The following is a 22395-nucleotide window of genomic DNA, read 5'->3' on the forward strand; positions in this document are numbered from 1 at the left end:
GCCAAAGTGTAAAGACCATCGATGCTAGAAAGAAACTGCATCAATTGACAGGCAAAATAACCAGCTATCATCATAATGACAGGATCAAATTCACACATAACGATATTAACATTAAACGTAAATGGGCTGAATACTCCAATTAAAAGACACAGACTGGCAAATTGGATAAAGAGTCAAGACCCATCAGTGTGCTGTATTCAGGAGACCCATCTCACATGCAGAGACACACATAGGCTCAAAATAAAGGGATGGAAGAAGATCTACCAAGCAAATGGAAAACAAAAAAAGGCAGGGGTTGCAATCCTAGTCTCTGATAAAACAGACTTTAAACCAACAAAGATCAAAAGGACAAAGAAGGCCATTACATAATGGTAAAGGGATCAATTCAACAAGAAGAGCTAACTATCCTAAATATATATGCACCCAATACAGGAGCACCCAGATTTATAAAGCAAGTCCTTAGAGACCTACAAAGAGACTTAGACTCCCACACAATAATAATGGGAGACTTTAACACCCCACTGTCAATATTAGACAGATCAACAAGACAGAAAATTAACAAGGATATCCAGGAATTGAACTCAGCTCTGCACCAGTGGACCTAATAGACATCTACAGAACTCTCCACCCCAAATCAACAGAATATACATTCTTCTAAGCACCACGTCGCAATTATTCCAAAATTGACCACATAGTTGGAAGTAAAGCACTCCTCAGCAAATGTAAAAGAAGAGAAATTATAACAAACTTTCTCTCAGACCACAGTGCAATCAAACTAGAACTCAGGATTAAGAAACTCACTCAAAACCACTCAACTACGTGAAAACTGAACAATCTGCTCCTGAATGACCACTGGGTACATAACGAAATGAAGGCAGAAATAAAGATGTTCTTTGAAACCAACAAGAACAAAGACACAACATACCAGAATCTCTGGGACACATCAAAGCAGTGTGTAGAGGGAAATTTATAGCATTAAATGCCCACAAGAGAAAGCAGGAAAGATCTAAAATTGACATCTTAACATCACAATTAAAAGAATTAGAGAAGCAAGAGCAAACACATTCAAAAGCTAGCAGAAGGCAAGAAATAACTAAGATCAGAGCAGAAGTGAAGTAGATAGAGACATAAAAAACCCTTCAAAAAATCACTGAATCCAGGAGCTGGTTTTTTTAAAAGATCAATAAAATTGATAGATCGCTAGCAAGACTAATAAAGAAGAAAAGAGAGAAGAATCAAACAGATGCAATAAAAAATGATAAAGGGGATATCACCACCGATCCCACAGAAATACAAACTACCATCAGAGAATACTATAAACACCTCTACGCAAATAAACTAGAAAATCTAGAAGAAATGGATAAATTCCTGGACACATACACCCTCCCAAGACTAAACCAGGAAGAACTCGAATCCCTGAATAGACCAATAACAGGCTCTGAAATTGAGGCAATAATTGATAGCTTACCAGCCAAAAAAAGTCCAGGATAGATGGATTCACAGCCGAATTCTACCAGATGTACAAGGAGTAGCTGGTACCATTACTTCTGAAAATATTCCAATCAATAGAAAAACAGGGAATCCTCCCTAACTCATTTTATGGGGCCAGCATCATCCTGATAACAAAACCTGACAGAGACACAACAAAAAAAGAGAATTTTAGACCAATATCCCTGATGAACATTGATGCAAAAATCCTCAATAAAATACTAGCAAACCAAATCCAGCAGCACATCAAAAAGCTTATCCACCATGATCAACTGGGCTTCAGCCCTGGGATGCAAGACTGGTTCAACATACGCAAATCAATAAATGTAATCCAGCATATAAGCAGAAACAAAGACAAAAACCACATGATTATCTCAATAGATGCAGAAAAGGCCTTTGACAAAATTCAACAACCCTTCATGCTAAAAACTCTCAATAAATTAGGTATTGATGGGATGTATCTCAAAATAATAAGAGCTATTTATGACAAACCCACAGCCAATATCATACTGAATGGGCAAAAACTGGAAGCATTCCCTTTGAAAACTGGCACAAGACAGGGATGCCCTCTCTCGCCACTCCTATTCAACATAGTGTTGGAAATTCTGGCCAGGGCAATCAGGCAGGAGAAGGAAATAAAGGGTATTCAATTAGGAAAAGAGGAAGTCAAATTGTCCCTGTTTGCAGATGACATGACTGTATATGTAGAAAACCCCATCGTCTCAACCCAAAATCTCCTTAAGCTTATAGGCAACTTCAGCAAAGTCTCAGGATACAAAATCAATGTGCAAAAATCACAAGCATTCTTAAACACCAATAACAGACAAACAGAGAGCCAAATCATGAGTGAACTCCCATTCACAATTGCTTCAAAGAGAATAAAATACCTAGGAATCCAACTTACAAGGGATGTGAAGGACCTCTTCAAGGAGAACTACAAACCACTGCTCAATGAAATAAAAGAGGACACAAACAAATGGAAGAACATTCCATGCTCATGGATAGGAAGAATCAATATCATGAAAATGGCCGTACTGCCCAAGGTAATTTATAGATTCAATGCCATCCCCATCAAGCTACCAATGACTTTCTTCACAGAATTGGAAAAAACTACTTTAAAGTTCATGTGGAACCAAAAAAGAGCCCGCATTGCCAAAACAATTCTAAGCCAAAAGAACAAAGCTGGAGGCATCATGCTACCTGACTTCAAACTATACTACAAGGCTACAGTAACCAAAACAGCACGGTACTGGTAACAAAACAGAGATATAGACCAATGGAACAGAATATAGCCCTCAGAAATAATACCACACATCTACAACCATCTGATCTTTGACAAACCTGACACAAACAAGAAATGGGGAAAGTATTCCCTATTTAATAAATGGTGCTGGGAAAACTGGCAAGCCATATGTAGAAAGCTGATGCTAGATCCCTTCCTCACACCTTATACAAAAATTAATTCAAGATGCATTAAAGACTTAAATGTTAGACCTAAAACCATAAAAACCCTAGAAGAAAACCTAAGCAATACCATTCAGAACATAGGCATGGCCAAGGACTTCATGTCTAAAACACCAAAAGCAATGGCAACAAAAGCCAAAATTGATAAATGGGATCTAATTAAATTAAAGAGCTTCTGCACAGCAAAAGAAAACTACCATCAGAGTGAACAGGCAACCTACAGAATGGGAGAAAAATTTTGCAATCTACTCATCTGACAAAAGGCTAATATCCAGAATCTACAAAGAACTCAAACAAATTTATGAGAAAAAAACAAACAACCCCATCACAAAGTGGGCAAAGGAGATGAACAGACACTTATCAAAAGAAGACCTTTATGCAACCAACAGACACATGAAAAAATGCTCGTCATCACTGGCCGTCAGAGAAATGCACATCAAAACCACAGTGAGATAACATCTCACACCAGTTAGAATGGCGATCATTAAAAAGTCAGGAAACAACAGGTGCTGGAGAGGATGTGGAGAAATAGGAATGCTTTTACACTGTTGGTCGGACTGTAAACTAGCTCAATCACTGTGGAAGACAGTGTGGCAATTCCTCAATGATCTAGAACTAGAAATGTCATTTGACCCAGCCATCCTATTACTGGGTATATTCCCAAAGGATTATAAATCATGTTACTATAAAGACCCATGCACATGTATGTTCATTGCGGCACTATTCACAGTAGCAAAGACTTGGAACCAACCCAAATGTCCACTAATAATAGACTGGATTCAGAAAATGTGGCACATATACACCATGGAATACTATGCAGCCATAAAAAATCATGAGTTCATGTCCTTTGTAGAGACATGGATGAAGCTGGAAACCATCATTCTCAGCAAACTATCGCAAGGACAAAAAACCAAACACCGCATGTTCTCATTCATAGGTGGAAATTGAACAATGAGAACACTTGGACACAGGAAGGGGAACATCACACACCAGGGCCTGTCATGGGGTGGGGGGAGGGGGGAGGGATAGCATTAGGAGATATACCTAATGTAAATGGCAAGTTAATGGGTGCAGCACACCAACATGGTACATGTATACATAAGTAACAAACCTGCACATTGTGCACATGTACCCTAGAACTTAAAGTATGATAAAAAATAAATAAATAAATAGAATGACACAGACTCTCTGTTCTTAGTCTCCTTAGCCTATCTCACATGTTTATTTGGAAGATTAATTAGAACACACAGACAAAAGCATCTAGTACAGTGCCTGGAACATGCTCATTACTTCATAAATATTAGTTTAATTATAATTTGTAGAAATAAGAAAGTATTCATTTTTTATTTTGCTATTCAAAATTTTATTACTGGACTTGCTGGAAGGAAATGGGTCAAACAGATAATAATAATAATAGCTGATTCAATAGAATTCTCAGCATGCATGCAAGGATTTAGTGTTAGTTTAAGGATTCTGGTACATAATTACACTATTCTTTCCCTTAAAATGGATCCAATTGTGAATTTTTTTAAAATAGAAAATCAACGTGAGAAGAAAAGTTTTCAAAAAAATAAATAAATAGGCATGCTCAGATGTGAAAATTACTGGATGACTCTACCTGCTGGCCTCATCAAGGATACATTAGCTGAAAGTGAAATGAGGATCGTGGCTCATGCCTGTAATCCCAGCACTTTGGGAGGCTGAGGCGGGCAGATCATGAGGTCAGGAGTTCGAGACCAACCTGGCTAACATGGAAAAAGCCTGTCTTCACTTAAAATGCAAAAAATTAGCCGGGCGTGGTGGCACGCACCTGTGGTCCTAGCTACTCGGAAGGTTGAGGCAAGAAAATTGCTTGAACCCGGGAGACAGAGGTTGCACTGAGCCAAGATCGCACAACTGCACTCCAGCCTGGGCAACAGAGCAAGACTCCGTCTCAAAAAAAAGAAAGAAAGAAAGTGAAATGAGCCCTTAAGTGCTAACGAATACATCAGGCACAAACTCTGGACTCCTCAAATGTTGACTCTGCCTCAGGGACAGGCATCCAAGGTTACTTCTCCAAAAGGGAGACAAAGACTCAAAAAGACTAATTTTTGCTCATGAATTCTCTATGCTAGTATCTATGATGGGTTAAGCATTCCACAGTCACTATCTTTCTGCATCCTCTCAAAATCTCAATAGTAGAGGTATCATTATTCCCCCATCTCATCCCATATTCTACGAGTCATATAAATAACATGCTCATAGATGTCATATAACTTACCAAATCACACAGTCAGTGTGCTACAGACAATTCAGTTAATATATTGAGTACCTCTTGTGTGCCTGGCAATGTGTTAGGCACTGAGGCTACAATAGTGAACAAGACATGTGTCTGCAAAAAAGATAAGCCAATGGCCATGCTCTAAAATCATCTCCTTTTATTATAAGATGTTAACGTGACAAGTGTTAGGACTATGAACAAAAAAATGTTAAAGGAAGAAGAGTGAAAGCAAAACCATAAGGCAGATCGAAAATGTGGTCAAAGAGTAGCCTTGTACCCCACCAAGTCCATTCCCTGCACAGACCCAGCCCTAGACCCCTCCTGAAATTCATATTCAGTTCTGCACTTAATGGAGCATGCATTTCCATTGAGATGCAACATGTGATGGGATCTGGATGTGTGTCCCTCCAAATCTCATGCTGAAATGTGATTCCCAGTTTTGGAGGTGGGGCCTAGTGGAAAGTATTAGATGACTGGGGCAGATCTCTCATGAATGACTTAGTGCCATCCCCTTGGTGATGAGTGAGTACTTGCTCAGTTAGTTCACATGAGATCTGGTTGTTTAAAAGAATCTGGGACCTCTCTCTCACTCTCTCTCTCTAGCTCCCTCTCTCGCCACGGGATATGTCAGCTCCTCCTTTGCCTTCCGTCATGACTGAAAGCTTCCTAAGACCTCACCAGAAGCAGAGCCAATGCTGCTGCCATGATTCCTGTACAGTCTGCAGAACCATGAGCCAAAATAAACCTATTTTCCTTATAAATTACCCAGTCTCAGGCATTCCTTCATCACAATGCAAACTAACACAACATATAAATCAATAAATAAGCTAGATAGTTACAGAGTAAGGGATAAGGAAAAATAAAACAGAGTAGTGGGACACAGAGTAACTGGAAAGGGGGAACTTTAGGTACTGTGTTTCAGAAAAGCCTCCATGAAGATGTGGCATTTAAGCTGAAATTGGGAAGATGGGAAGTTCGAGGCAGATGCATGAGAACTCAAGGCAGAAAGAGTTCAGCACACTGGGAAAATGAACCTACAGCAGAGGGAGCAAAGGAGAGTCTGACCTAAGAGGAGGCTGGAGTTAGGGAAGGGTCGGATCACACGCAAAGTGGTAGGGCTATGGCACAGACTTCAAGGTCAGCAAGCTGGTGCCCATCTCACTCTCCAGCTGGTAATAACATACTGTTATTCTCTAGATCACAGAGACTACTCACCAATAGCCCAGGCACTGGGGCAGAATCAAGTCCAGCACCATTATCTCATTGATTCCATCTGGAACTTGGCAGTTGGTTCCTTTTCACTTCAGTTCACAATTAGAAACTTCCTTGTCCCCATTTTCCCCTTTTATACCCTATGTGTACATTTATTTCACCGTATCAGACTATAATTCCATTTTAAGGCAGACTCAACAAAAACTATCACAGTGCTTTACACACAGTAGGTGTTCAACAAATGTTAGCTAAGTTGATTATCAAAAGCAGACATGGACCTAGCAGCTGGAAAGTTGGAATATTCAAAACTGTAGGCTGGTAGGAGTCAAGAAGTAAAGGACTCTCCTAGCTTAGAATGGGATGTGGGGAAGGCATGGTGGGAAAGGGACTCACTGGCATGCCTTCCCTGTTTCCTTCTTTGAATTGCTTCCGTCACTTGTACTTACCCTTAAGCTTTGTGGAGGGAGATATGGACCTCAGAATGTGGCCTCTGGCCACCCAGCCTCGTGTAAATGCACTATTGATTTTTCCAGAGAGAGCAATTCAAAGAAAAGGAAAAATACATTTTTACTGTTATGAATAGTGTAATACAACTTCATTTAACACTGTAATTGAATACTTACAATTTTTTTAAATTGTATATTTAGCATTGAAATATGGTGAGTCTATGTGGGAAGGGATAGAAAAGGGTAGCAGGAGAGTACTTAATGCCTAGAAAAAGACCTACAATGCAAAATAATAATCATCACAGCTCTAATATTAATAATAGTAACAGTGGCTACCGTATATTGAGCTACAGTGTCAAAGGGATTGAGCACTTTATCATTTTCACCTCTGCTTATAAAATTGCCATGAGGATGATTACTCCATTTTGAAGGTAATGGGAAACTCAGGTTCATGGAGGCTGTCTTTTGCCTAAGGATTCATAGTGAAGGATGAGCAAGGTCAGGAATCACAGGTTTCTCTGGAGGACAGCACAGTGGTTAAGAGTATGGCCTTTGGAGTCAACAGAAGAGACATCCTGGGAAACATGCCTTCCCTAATCTTTTTGTGTTTCTTTTCTAAATTATGAAGGTGTTGAATTCCATCATCTCCACAGCCCTTTCTAGCTCGATGCTCCAAATTGTCGCAATCCAGCCCAAGGCAGGACCACACTACTGTGTCTTTCTTTCCTGTTCTGATCCTCCTACATCAGCTCCTGGCTCCTCCTCCTAACCCTCTAGGCAGAATAAAGCCCAAAAGTAAATTCAAGGAGACAGCTTATTCCTATATTCTATTACTGACAGGGAAGACTGAGAAAAAATGCACTCACTCAATGGCTCCAGCAGTAACAGCAGTGCTTTCTAAGCCACCAAAAGGACTCTTGAAATAAAGAATTAATGGACGCCAGAACAAGCATCAGGCCTATTGGTGCCAATGGGGTTGTGCATGCATAATTTAGTGTTATACTGTCAACTATGAAATATCTTTGGGCAACAGCCTACATTTCCTTTGAACAACATGAATCTTCAGAAGAAATAGGAACAGGAGAAGGGAGAACAGTGTCAAAAGCACTATACGAAAGAAGATATCAAAAATGCATCTGAAGAGTTTGAATAAAATTGTCTCAAAAAATATAAAACTGGGAAAAAGCGGTATTTCTAAATTAATATATTACCGCTTGAAGTATGTATGTGTAATGAACTGAATAAACACTATTTGTAGATCGGCAACTATAGTATTTCGCCTACAGACTTAGAAGTATATATGTTCAATTGAACCAAAACTTTGTTTTAAAAATCTTATTCTTTTTGGAGAAAGTGCAGCATCACCTAATTCAAGATTGCCTTACATTGGGGCATATGAGGTAAAATAGCAGGTGCTAGCCTCAATCTTACTGCTTAGGTTACAAAACTGTTCTTGAATGCCTTCCTTATGTCAGGCATCAAGCTAGTTTCTGGAAATAGAAAAAGGTACAAAACACTCTAGAATAGTGATTTCCAACAAATGTTTGAGGAAAAGCATTGTCTGCCTTAACTTTGACTTTCATATATGTATACAAGGCCTGCTTTTCCTTACGTTTCAGTAAGCATACGGTCTCTTTTGGCACCAGCTTAATGGTATGCTATGTATCTTTTATTTGCGCCAAGTCTTACACAACTCTGTGCGGCATTGCATGACCCACTTAACTATAAATTAGAACAGATGTGACTTTACCCACATGAAGCCTCAGTTACAGCAAAAATCAGTTCACACATTATTATTAATCATTTGACAGCTCACTTCTGCTAGGGATGCTGGCTGAGATCCACTGCCTGGAAGTATTCAAATAGAAGAATGGACCCTGTCACTGTATGATTCAGTGGAAACCTCTAAACCAAAGGTACTTCCTCCACTGGCCTGTCACAATGCCTGGGATTCACACCGTGGACATGATTCCAGGACGTTAAAAACAAACAAGCCATTAAAAAAAAAAAAAAAAAAAAAAACATGTTATGCTTGCAAGTGCCATTTAGAAGGGAAAATACATTAGCCGCCTGAGAATAAGTTATTCTAAACAGCATGTAGTCAACAAGTTAAGAGAAAAGGTTCTGCAAGAATGTGACCCAGGATACTGCTGGGTGAGTTAGAATTGAGGAAATAATATAAAAAAATAGATTATATTTTCTCAAGAAAAGAGGGCCCTGCCCTGGAGATAATAAACATCTCAGAACAGTGTAAAGAATAAACAGAGCATGGCCAAAGGAGAGATGAGCAGAGCCTGAATTGGCACTCTGCTTACTACATAGTTTTGTCAAGAAATGCCTAAGCTAGATGAATATACAGGATTCTGTTTCCAAATCATTTTTCCCCAGCTACAATTTAATATCTCGGGGTCCAATGCAGGCACTTGTCTAGATCAATAGCCCACTGTGAACAGATCTTGACAGCTGCTGCTTTTCACCCTAACATGATGCTGGTGAAATCTCAAGCAGAGACATGGGCCAACCATTCCTAGCTATCAGCCATCCGTTCTTTGGCAACAAGTAAAGAAATCATAGAGAAAACCAGAGAGACATGAGATCAAAGGAGCAAAATGATTGACTAAGACTGGATTCGCATAAGAGAAAAACTGTCTCCCAAATGTTATTGTGGAAGCTCATTTTGGCCAAATGCATTGCTTTACTGATCCATTCCATTTCTTGGCTTCTCTCCCACATCCTTAAGTCTCCTGTTCAGTACTTGCTGGATTACAGTGTAGGGAGAAAGAAAAGGGCAATGCTCTTTGGTAAGCAGCTATTTTGTCTTTGCTATAGTTTGAATGCCCCCTTCAAAACTCATGTTGAAACTTCAACCTCAATGTGGCAGTATTGAGAGGTAGGGCTGTGAAGAGGCAATTGGATCATGAGGGCTTTGTCCTCATTAATGGATTAATTCACTTATGGATTAATGGGTTAATGGATTAATGGGTTGTCATAGGAGGGGAATTGGTGGCTTTATGAGAAAAAGAAGAGAAATCTGAGCTAGCATGTGAACAGGCTCAGCCCCATTGTCTGTAATTCTCTGAGCCACCTTGGGACTCTACAGAGAGTCACCACCAGCAAAAAGGCTCTTACGAGATGCGGCCCCTCACCCTTTGACTTCTCAGCCTCCATAACTTAAGAAATAAATTTCCTTTTCTTTATAAATTACCCAGTTTCAGGTATTCTGTGATAAGCAACAGAAGACAGACCAAGACAGTCTTCAAACCAGAAGTACAGATTCTACACCTGTAATCGACAGTGAAAATATAATGGCTTCTCATTCTTTTTTAGGTTTTCTAAATTATTATTATTCACAGAAGCCTCATTGAATGGCTTCTGATTCTCATGGAATTTCAGAAATGGTCTTCAAAAGAAATGAGAGAATCAGTAAATCTATAGATATGGGACATGCTGAGGGAAGTGCAATGTATGAAGAAGCCATGGATCATTTTCTCAAAGAGTTACCTTCTAGCTAGAGAACCAAGATGCAAGAATGACAAATGTGCAGCACACAGGCCTCTTCTCACCTCACCTGCCCCATGACAGACATTACTATTGATCATGGTGTCCTTTCCTACCAAGCTCACGTGCAACCTCAAATTCCTTTCCAGCATAGCACTTCAATAGTTGCTATCCATCTTTCAAAGTTAGAACATGATTTGAGATATATTTGCCATCTCTGGTCACAATTGAAGAGAAACAGTAACTTCATATTACTACCAGATATTCATGGAAAAAGCCCAGTTTTGTGGTACAAGCTGTAAGGCAGCAGGAATTCAGAGGGAAGCTTCACGGAGGAAGGGACTTATACTGGCTGTGAACATTCATGCAGAATTTAAAAGAGAAATAGTGAATTTGGTAGTGAAACAACTACTTTTAAAAAGTATTTATTTATACACTCCCTAAAATAATCTAACTTGTCTCCATTAATAAGTCTTTATTAATACGTGCCACACCAGCATTAGTGATTAGGAGGATGGGTCTTGAAAGCAAGGTAGATCTGAATCCTAACCCCGACTTCATCACTGAATGTCTGGGAGACCTTGGGCCAGTTAACCAGCATCTCTAAATTTCCTCATTTGTAAAACTGGCAAGTAACAGAACCCAATGCATAGTGTTATTCCGAGGACTAATTGAAGAGATTCCTATAATGTGCTCAGCAGTGCGCCCATTATCATTATTTTTAGAGATTTTTAGGTCATTCTATTTCATCCTGGCTAGGGACATCTGTTCCTCAAGGCATTTTCCATACCAGAATACATCAAGGTAGAATGAAACAACAATGGTCTAGAAATTAGATAGATGTGTCATTAAATCCAGGCCTCATCATTTGCTAGATGTGTAAGCTGAGTAAGTTACTTCTGTAAACTCTACTACTTCATTTGTAAAATGAAGGAAATATTGAAGAATGTAAATAAGTCATATAGAGGAAGTGCTGGTAAATTGTTGTTCCTTGGTACATGGTAATTCTTTTTATATACATTATTGTGTCCAGGTTTTCTTCTCTGAATTTTTTAAAACAGATATTGACAGGCTTTTGAAATTTGAAATCCTCAATTGTTTCTCTGCTTTAGATCTACTTTTATTTGTTGTAAAACCTTGGATTCTAAAAAATAATTGTGCTTTCTCCTTTCCATTTGAGCAAGCAAGAACAAGACTATACTAAGAAGCAGAATGAAGAAGGCCATCAGAACCTTAGCACCCAAGAACTAGGTTTCTTTCTTCCTGGCTCCTGTTGCCCTCCAAATGAGGAATTTCTCTTCTTGAATTGAAATGCAAATTGTATATGACTCTAAAGATCCTTTATCTGACAGATCTGAGGAACACAGCTCTTCTCTGCTATCTGTGGGGTGGGCCACTTCTCTTAACTCTAAAGCTCCCGCTTTTTTAATCTAACTCTTTGAGCCAGCAAAGGAATGCACCCCGTCCCCCACTGTCCAACATTGTCCTTTCTCCAGTGAAAGCTCTCACTGTAGCCTTTAACCCAATGGGCTTCAAGGTGGCTCTGGCAAAACCACTTTGACAGGTGCATAGAGTAGCTCTGTCTCCATTTATACCTTTTCCTTTCAGTGTAGCACTGCCTCTCCAGCAGTAACTCCAGCACGGCTTTGCTGAAGTGGACTCCTGCTACAAGGAATGGTCCTGAGATCCATATCTCATTTCACAGCAGCTGCCAAGGAGCTGTCAGAAACTGGTTCTTATGGCCACAGGTCAGATTTAAAGCTGCGACCTCAAGGAAATGCACATGCTTCCTATCCCATTAAAAGTAGCTTGAGCTAGACACTGGCCCCCATGGAGTCCATCAACTTTGTTTTGGTTGCTGGATTAGGGCTCTTGCTTGCATTGAGAGAAGAAGGAAAGTTGCAGTCTCTCTTAGAGACTGAGATTTCACCCAAAATATTTTTTTTCTGCTCAGCAAACACTCACCTATTTACTTCTACAAGTTAAAAAAAGAAGAGTTTTAACTCTACAATACAACCTAAGAATCTAAAGCAAGAGTCAACACAAGAGAGTTTCAGTCCCATTATGGCATCCATATCAACTACTTACTGAATTGTCTGGAAGAGCAGGTAGATTTCAATGTGAGCAGCAGAATTGACAAATCATTGGCAATCGCTGTCTGGAACACTGTGCTGAGAATGCTAAATTGGAAAGGGGGGTGGTCAATTAGCAGTCTGCTTTAGATCCAGGATTGGGAAAAGACAGCAATTATGCCATATATTTACTGACTTTACTCAATGCCATAGCCTCTAAGTCAACTTTTCTGCTTACACGTCTCCATACTTCAACCCATTCCCCATTCTGCCACCATAGTCAGTAATTTAACACTCATATCTAATCACATCATTTCTCCTATGGCTCACATTACTCTTATGCTTATGTTCCCTAGCATGGTATATAATGCCTAGCATGATGTACAATGTATAATTGGGCTCTAGCCCATCTCTCCAGCCATTCCTCTTATCACTCCCCACCATAACACTATGTCCTGGTCACCCCAAATTTCTCATATTCCCTGAAATGTTTATTCTTTTTGCACATGCTGTTCTTCTCTGAAGTGGCTTTCCCTACTTACTCCACTTGTGAAATTCTATACATCTTTCAAAGCTCAATTCAAATGGCACTCCTTAGTCTCTCCATCCTGGATGCCAGGACTTTTTGTTCATATGACTATTATGGCACTTTTTATATCATAGTCATATTAATGAGAAACTTTTTTTGTAAGTAATAGAAACCAATTCAAACTGCCTTAAGAAAAAAATAGCAAACTTGTCTTTTTTTTAAAAAAAAAAAAAAAAGAAAGAAAGAAAGAAAGTACTATTTATTCTCTTATGTTAACAAAAATTTGGAGATAGAGTCTTCAGACATAACTGGATCAAGATGCTCAAATTATGTCTTCACAGCTGGCTCCTTCCTCTCCAGGTATTTCTCTCCTTTATGTTGACTTAATTCTAAATGGTTGGTTTCTACTTAGAGAACACTCCAGCTGCAGGTTGGCAAAAAGAGATTTCTTTCCTAATTGTTTCAATAGAAGGTCCAGATGTGAGTCTTATTTGTCTGTCTTGGATTATTTGCCCACCCTTGAAACAATCACTGTGACCAAGAAAAGTGAATTTTCTGATTCTCAAGATATGGGTCAGCCTCCATCGCTGAAGCAGGAAGGGTAAATCAACAACTCCACCCAAGCCATACAGAGCTACAATGGGAAAGACTAGCTTCACCAAAGGAAGACTGGGAGTGTTGTTTTTCAGAAAAGTGAGGCATCTATTCCAGACAGGTAAAATATAACAATAACAACTGTACATACACACAAAATGGTGAGTTTTGAGTTTATTTGCATCTTTTCCCCACCAAACTGAGCCCATCTCACTCACTCATAGTACCCTGTGGCACAGCGCTCAAGGACAATAGAAGGACAAGCACTTTTCCTTAGCTTTTTGGGAATGTGTAGTAACTCCATTTAGTCACTTAAGAACATGGTTATTAATTGTCTGTGTTTACTGAATATTTCCTCATTCTGTGAAGCAATTTATGAGTCTTGGTGCAGCTTGCAGAGACAAGCATTTCTCGAGTCCTTGTTTGACAAGCACAGAAGGAAATTTATGTGTTGTACTGTGATATGTATTATGTTTACTTGCTAATGAAATTTATCCCAGTTTTTGTGTTTATTTATAGCACACCAATTCAGAACTGATGCAATCATTAGAGAATGGCTTATACGTGACCAATTTAAGATATTTAAAACCTCTTATTGTAGTGACAAAAGATAAGGGAGTTAAAATGAATAAGGAAAGAGAAGTTTTTGTTACTGGCAAAAGACAAAACAGGGAATGAGAGGTCTCTAGTGAATACAGATACATTTGCATTTTATCTGAACATTTATTTGAAATCATATTTGATTTTTAAGTCTCAATACGCAGAGAAAAATCCTAGTCACTCATGGCTAATCTGGAAAAGTCTAAGAAGATTGTATGAATATTAGCCTTTGAGTGGGTTATAATACCTTTAGTGGATATTTTTTTCTTCTGGAACTCCCCAAAGTCTCCCATTCTGTGCTTGATATAGTAGGAAACACACTGGCTTTATAGTTTTAAAGACCTGCATTCAAGTTTCTGCCTGCAATATTCTGGCTCTATTGTCAAAATACACAGTTGTATATTTTGATAACAAAGGAAAGGAAATCAAGACAAATTCAAATGCATTGTTCTATGTGCTTTATATATATTTACTCATTTAATCTTTACAACAAGTTTTTGATGCAGATACTTCCCATTATACAGGTGAAGACACTGAGGCACAAGGTAGTTAAATAACTTGCCTAGGATTGCATGCTCAGTGAGTGACAGAGTCATCAATTTGACACAGGCAGTTGATACTGTAGTTCATGCTTTTGACCATGCAGTATGCTGCTATTTACTATGTTGAATGCCTTCTCCAGTATGGCTTGGGAGTAAGACAGGTCTAGGATCAAACTCCATCTCTACTACCTGCTAACCAGTCACTTAGGCAAGTTATTTCAACTCTCTAATCCTAGGTCTACATCTGTTAAATGAAGATAATAATATCAATATAAACCCACTAGCACCATACCTTGCACTCAAATGTTAGCTTTCTTCCTCCAGACACACATGCCAATTGTAGACTTGCTTAGCGTCTAACCTCAGCCACTGTGTGTATGTGGCTATAGCAGAATATTCAAAAGAAAGCACAATTCTAGAAGTCACCCAGTGAGTTCGGGTAGAGACAAAAAGAAAAAAACAAGTATTTCAGGCTTGATGCGCAAAAGCAAGTTTTGGCTTTGAATCATCCAATTCATTTTGGGAGTGTCAACCTAACTTGTGAAAAGTTGTCAGTGGTCCAAAAGTCACATTAGAATTTCAGGAAAGAAGAACTAGGCTATTGATCTGCACATTCAAGAAATATCAAAGATTTAGTGTTCCCCTGTGACAGAATAAGTGAATGTGTACTACCAAAACAATCCCTACACAGTGGTGTCATGTGTGTGAAATCCTTCAACAAAAGACAGGGAGGCCACAGCCAAAGAGAAGATTCTGTCTCCAGTAACCACCCAGCTGGTGTTTTCTGACAACCTAATGACCAAATTGAATCATCTGCATAACCAATCTAATTGATTATATAGAAATGGATTATGAAGGTGGTTAAAAAAAAAAAAAAGATATCCAGGCAGTCTAGGGGTACATTTGCATGTCCCTATAGATACCCAATATAAATCTAGATTTTAAAAAAAAAGGCAGTATAGCTGTTTATTTGCTTCCAAACAGTCGGCTAGTATATGACCTGTAGACACATAGCCATATGTAATCACAGTCCATCCTCGCTGATATAAAATATGAGAAAGAATTATTATTCATCTCCATAGCAACAATTTATTGAACAACTCTTTGTTGGGCACTGGGCTAAGCACATAAGGTATATTATATAATATAATCCTCACAACCCTATTTCAATGGAACAAGTATAACTATTACCTACATTACAGATAAGGAAAGTGGCTCAAAGACTGTAATCAACTTTCTCAGGTCCACACAGCTGGTTTATTGGTTTCAATACTTTCATCTACAAATCAGAAAAACCTAAGTTCAAACTAAAGACTTTATTATCCCATGTAACAGGAAGGTTATTAGAGGCAGAGTGAGCCCTGGAGATGATTGATTTGCTTGACTAATAGCTTAATCGTCCTGTTAAGGTCAGGTCCAAAGTTCTTTTCTATTTCTCAGCTCCCCCTTTCACAGGCTGCAGCGGTTTCAGGTATCATATCTAGAGTCACTTCCTGTGGATTTCTTTTATGAGACAGAAACTTTCCTCAGACACACATCCCCGTGCTCCCCAGCTTCCCTTCATGTCTTCTGGACTCAGAATATGTCACATAGCCATTCCTAAACCAATTACTTAGGAAAAGATAGAGAATTATCGTTAAACTAATTGGGCCGCATGGAGGCAGGATGATGCTGAAAAAATATTGGTTTCAGATTATTGGATAGGAAACAATATTGGATAGGAAAACAAATAGCAGATCGGCTCTTTGTTTTCCTCTGGTTGTTGGCTATAAATGAACAGTAATGGTCATTGCAACCAAGATATCAATAAAAGGCAAACACAGGTGTGTCCAAAGTAGGTGTTCTTAATTAGTGAATTCTACCATATGGTTGGTTTATGTTCCACTGTTCAGATAAACCAGGGGTCTTTATCCCAGTATTATCAACCCAGAGACACTGCAAAACTCCTGTTAACTGGTCATCTTGGGAGGCAATCAGTGCTTCTAGACATAGATCCGACTGTGTTAGCCTTCAAACTGAACTACTTGCTTCTGTTCTTGCCACCTTCCAGTCTGTTTCTCATCATGGCTCAAGGGATCTGATTCAAATTTCAACCAAGTCATGCCATTTTATGTTTAAAATCCTCAGCAGATATCTATAGTTATTGGGATAATGGCCAACACCTTGAATGTGGCCCACAACCATGCATGTTTGCCTCCTGCCTATCTCTCCAGTAGCCTCTCTCTGTGCTCTGGCCACATTGGCTTCTTTCACACCATCCTCTCATGATTTTCACATGCTAGTCACTTTCTTGGGAATTCTTCTTCTACTGTCTTTACCAAATCGACTCATTCTTCTGGTCTGGGATAAACCATCTCTTCCTCAGAGAAGCCTTTCCTGACCCTTGATAATATCAAATCGCCATCTTAGAGCCTCTCATAGCACCACGTTCACCTGCAGCGAACTTACTACACTCAGCGTGAACTATTATACTCACTGACCAGTTTCATTTTCTATTTATTTGAGAGGTTAATTGATTAATCATATGTGCTCATTAGTCTATAAGCCCACTGTCTTAGTCCATTTTGCATCACTATAAAGAAATATCTGAGGGTGGGTAATTTATAAACAAAAGAGGTTTATTTGGCTTGCACTTCTGCCAGCTGTCCAAGAAACATGGCATTAGCATCTGCTTCTGGTGAGGGCCTTAGGAAACTTCCAATCACAGCAGAAGGCAAAGAGAGAGCAGGTGTGTCACGTGGCAAGAAAGGGAACAAGACAGCAAGGGGAGGAGAGTGCCAGGCTCTTTTTAACAGTCAGATTTCACAGAGACAAAGAGTGAGAACTCACCCAATCTTATGAGAATGGCACCAAATCATTCATGAGGGATCCATCCCCACGACACAAACACCTCCCCACTTGGCCCCACCTTTAACATTGGGGATGAAATTTCCACATGAGATTTGGAAGGCACAAACATCAAACCATATCACCCATGAAGGCAGGGATGGATTCTGTGTTTGCTCATTTGTATCCCTGGTTTTTAGCACATTGCCTGGCACACAGTGAGTGCTCAAGATATACTGGTTAAACTAAAAACAAACTAGAGAACCTAACAGTCCCACTCTCCATTGCCTTAGCCTCTTCACTACTGTAATTCATCTCCATTCATTCTCCCTCTCCACTTCCACCTAAGCAGATTCACATCTTGACCCCAACCTCCTCACTCCCAATCTCTCTCTGTCTTTTTTGGCTCTGCAAACTCTAAGGAGTTGGACTCACCTCCAGGATCTTTATAACTGATGCATGGTGTAGCCTGATCTCAGTAGCTGGATCTAGAAAACAACTAAAATGTTCTCAAGTTCTTAAAATGAATAAGCAAACAAGTAAATAAATTAGCAGTACAGCGTATGATTAAAAGCCCAAGCCTTGCAACTTACAACAGTGAGAGATCTTAATATACTAAATGTATACCCAGGTTAGCTACATAACCTCTCTGAGCATCAATTATTTCAGCATAAAATGGGGATAATGATATTGATTTCACAAGATTTTCATAGGTATTCAATAAGCTAATGTATGCAAACATTTAGCCCAGAAATGGGAGCTATTGTTAACAAACCGAATTTCCTATAATGACAAAAATGTTCCTCTCAGAAAATTTGTCTTTATAAAGAGCAAAACTCTTTAATAAAATGATGGAATGAATTAAGGAAAAGGGGGTTAAAAACTATCGCTATACAGATTTCAGGCAATGGATATAGTTCATATAAATTATTCACAAGGCAAAGTGCTTGACTTTTTGAACCCAGTTAGTCCATGCTGTGCTCAGAATCCCAACAAAACTTTTAGGTCCAATAGAGTACTGAAATCCAGGTCAATTGTTCTGTTTCCCAGAGTCCAATCCTAGATTAGATTCTCTGAATTAAAAAATTTTCTGTATTAATTAACTCACCCCCTTCTGCTCTGTTAAACTTGGTATTATTCTGCCACTTAGTTTTGACAACAAAGAGCAGTTGTCAACAGCAGTTTTGAATGTTTGCATATTCTAGTTGTCTTCTCTGTCACTTTAGCTGTATGTTAAAAGAAAAGGCAAGAAGAATGTTTTCCAGCAGCTGTGGCAGAGTCTATGGCATATAAACAATTCACCAGCATTCGACATCCACAGCAGACATCATTAATCAATTAGAATGTTCTTTCCCACTAAAACCCACATGGAGTTTCTTAATCCTTTTTAATGCCAAACTACAGAAGCTACACCATTTAATTAGAGTTGATATGTAAGATATAACCTATTCTCCATGCTGGACTTAGGAAAATGTTCTACAAGAAACCAGAAATCTAGTTATCATACCAAGAAACGCAAGTGTAACCTTATAAAGGTATCACTCATGAGGACTAGCTTTGGAATGTTATTGCAATCAAAGAACTACAGCGTAGAAATAAAAAAGAACTGCAATTCAGAAACAAAAAATTATAATAATGGTAAAATTGCCCAAGTGCTTTACTTTATTTTCAAACGCCTTGAATGGAATACCAATGAGCTCGGACATACTCTATTTTAAATGTTCACTTTTCTTTCTTCTCCACTTCCTTTACACACTTCTTCCATGGCTCACTTGTCAAAATCCTCAAAATATTTGTCACCAAGCCCTATAACATCCCCTCTTGCCCTTGTTCTGCTCCCAACTTTCTCTAAATTTGTATCACTGAAGCACAAAAAGCTAGTCTGGAATGATATAGAAGGGGGAAATAGTGAAAAGGGTCATATCAGCATCATCTTTCACAGCAGGGTTAAAGAGAGGATTCAGAATTCTCACACATTAGAAATGTTTGGATAGACCTAGGCTGTAATTTGGGGGCCATTACTTCACCCTTCCTCCATCTTGGGAATCAACAGTCCCCATTACCAGTGCCGGCATTCGCAAAAAGGATCCCAACAAGCCAAATCTAAGTGCAGCTTTGACATAAGGAATGGCTTTTTTGAAGCTAATGCTCAGAATTCCCCACGGAGCTTGTGAAAAAAAAAAAAAAACAGCCACTTCAAATGATGAGAGCCTATTTCCTCCTGTATAGCCACCTTCTGTCTCTCTCATCTCTTCATCATGTAACAGAAAATGTGAAATGAGAGGAGACTGCTAAGAAGGAGACAGCCTTGATTTCATTCATTAAAAGAACTAAAAATTAGAAACAAGTAACAACTTCATTGGCTTCTACCTCATCTCAAAACATAAAGGCCCTGAGCAATAAAAGATCCAATAAAAACACAAAAAAGGACTGACAGAAAATGCGACCCATCACCATCAATTCCCTAACTTTAAAGGAATCTTGATCTTTCCACTGAATGCAGAATTTTTCTTCTAGCTTTGAGTCATATAAATTTTCATTACTGACATCCAATTTTATTTGAATTATAAAACTTTTTTAGAATATATACCTCACACAGCTATGAAACCCAGGATAGCACAGCTTTCCCTAGGGCCCTCTGTAGTTCAGGACAACCAAGCACCTATGTTCTGATTCTATGAGGGATGAATAAGACAAAAGTCTGGAGGAAATAGAGTGCCAGAAAAGCTCACAGAAGGTCAGAAGCAAGTCTTTAGAAGAGAGAGAACCACCTGAGTCAGAGATTCTGAAGTCCACCAGGCCTACTTAGAAAAGACGTATATTCAAATCAGCAAAGTGCCCAATATGCCTCTTCCAACCTAGGGTTGAAGGCAGCCAACCAAAAGCCCCTATGGCTACACTCCAGCACCTCAGGAGATGGCTTTTAGGTATTAACTGCAGCAAAATGATATCCCATCAGCATCAAATTACATTAGATGTTCTGAGAGAGAGGAGGGAAGGGAAAGAAGGGATTGCTGGCCAACTTCATAAGTGTATGGAAGTATCAGGCACTATTCAAAACAGATAAATGTTTTGTATAAAGGTATAATAAGGGTAACCATTAGACAGAGCATCCAGATCTTCCTAAATGCTGATATACCAAGAAGAAAAAGGAAAGAAAAGAAAAGAAAAAAAGAAAGCAATAAAATAAACCCATAGTGAAACATTATTGATGTACACACACCCCACATCACATAAAATAAAACAACATAACACAACTGAGATCAAAGCTCTCAATCATATCAATAAATATAAATGGGCATAATAAATCTATAAAAAAAATTTTTGATTTGCTAGCAAACCAAAATTCAACACATCTGAGAGACACATGCAAAACAAACAAATTATGAAAGATTAAAAGTAAAAAATGGATCTATAAATAAGCAAAATCCAATTTAAAGGCATCATTGGAAGGGGAAAAGCCTGTTTACAAGGACAATAACTATTATTATTATTACAGTAATAATAACACCCAAGTAAAATCCACATGAGAAAAAGTGTAAAATATTTCTGAAAAACACAGAAGCAGACTTGAACAAATAAGAAGGCTTTCTTTCCATATTCTAGGCAAGGAAGTACCAACATCATAAAGTTGGCAGTGCACACAAAGTTAACTTTCATACTTAGTGAGTGCCAATAAAATGTCATCAGGTTTTTATTTTCCTAAATATAAAGTTGATTATACCATTAATTTGGAAAAACACCAAAAAATATAAGAAATAGGAGGGGGGATCCTAGCCCTGCTTGGTATTAAGATGGTTTTTCAAACCTACAAAACTTTTAAAATGTGGTTTTGGTATTTTTTTATTATACTTTAAGTTCTAGGGTACATGCGCACAACGTGCAGGTTTGTTATGTATGTATACATGTGCCATGTTGGCATGCTGTACCCATTAACTTGTCATTTACATCAGGTATATCTCCTAATGTTATCCCTCCCCCCTCCCTCTACCCCATGACAGGCCCGGGTGTGTGATGTTCCCCACCGTGTGTCCAAGTGTAAAATGTGGTATCGGTATTTGAAGAGACAGAAGGACAAATGGAACAAATAGAAAATCCAGAAATAGATCTGATCACATATGAAAATTTAGCATTTAATAACTGAAAAGTGTAAAATTAATATTTTTTATTAATTCAGATTCAGCATCTGAAATTAGTTGGGAAAAGATGAATGTTTTAATAAGTGGTATTGAGATACCTGGTAAGTCAAATGGAAAATGATCAGACTGGATCTATTCCTCACTCCATATACCAATATAAATTCCAAATGTGTCAGATTTAAATGTAAGACTATGGCCAGGCACAGTGGCTCATGCCTGTAATCCCATAACTTTGGGAGGCAGATGCAGGCAGATCGCTTGAGGCTAGGAATTTGAGACCAAAAGCCTGGCCAATATGCTGAAACCCTGTCTCTACTAAAAATACACAAATTAGCCAGGTGTGGTGGTGCACACCTGTAGTCCCAGCTGAAGCAGGAGGATCACTTGAACCCAGGACGTGGGGGTTTCAGTGAACCATGATTTCACCACTGCACTCCAGCCTGAACAACAGAGTGAGATTCAGTATCAAAAAAAAAAAAGATACAATAAATGTAAGACTACCACTATATCAGTACTATTAAAAAATGTTTGAACTTGGGAGTAGGAAACACTTTCCTATGACTCAAAATCTACATGCAATAAGAGAAAAGTTAGATAAACTTGACATACAAATTAAAATTATAAAAACTATACAGCAAAAAATTCTTAATTTAAAATTTTTTAAACCCAGAAAAAAACACTTGCCACTTTCTGCAGGAATAATGAGTTAATATTATAAAAATAGA

The 22395-nt window shown here is 38.6% G+C and overlaps 1 protein-coding gene across 6 annotated transcripts in view; it reads right to left on the minus strand.

Annotated features, from left to right (window-relative positions):
- The window catches only part of PRELID2 (PRELI domain containing 2), a 606358-nt gene that overhangs the window by 423813 nt on the left and 160150 nt on the right, over positions 1 to 22395 (minus strand). For 2 of the 6 annotated variants that reach the window (XM_017009133.2, XM_017009130.2), the window contains one exon: positions 4062 to 12548. The exons of the other annotated variants lie outside the window; for them this stretch is intronic. The gene's annotated coding sequence lies outside the window, so the exon portion shown is untranslated. Of the gene's footprint in view, positions 1 to 4061; positions 12549 to 22395 lie in introns of those variants that run through there. 6 annotated transcript variants of the gene reach the window in all.

The sequence above is a fragment of the Homo sapiens genome, chromosome 5 (assembly GCF_000001405.40).
Source record: "Homo sapiens chromosome 5, GRCh38.p14 Primary Assembly".
In the NCBI taxonomy this organism is placed as follows: domain Eukaryota; kingdom Metazoa; phylum Chordata; class Mammalia; order Primates; family Hominidae; genus Homo; species Homo sapiens.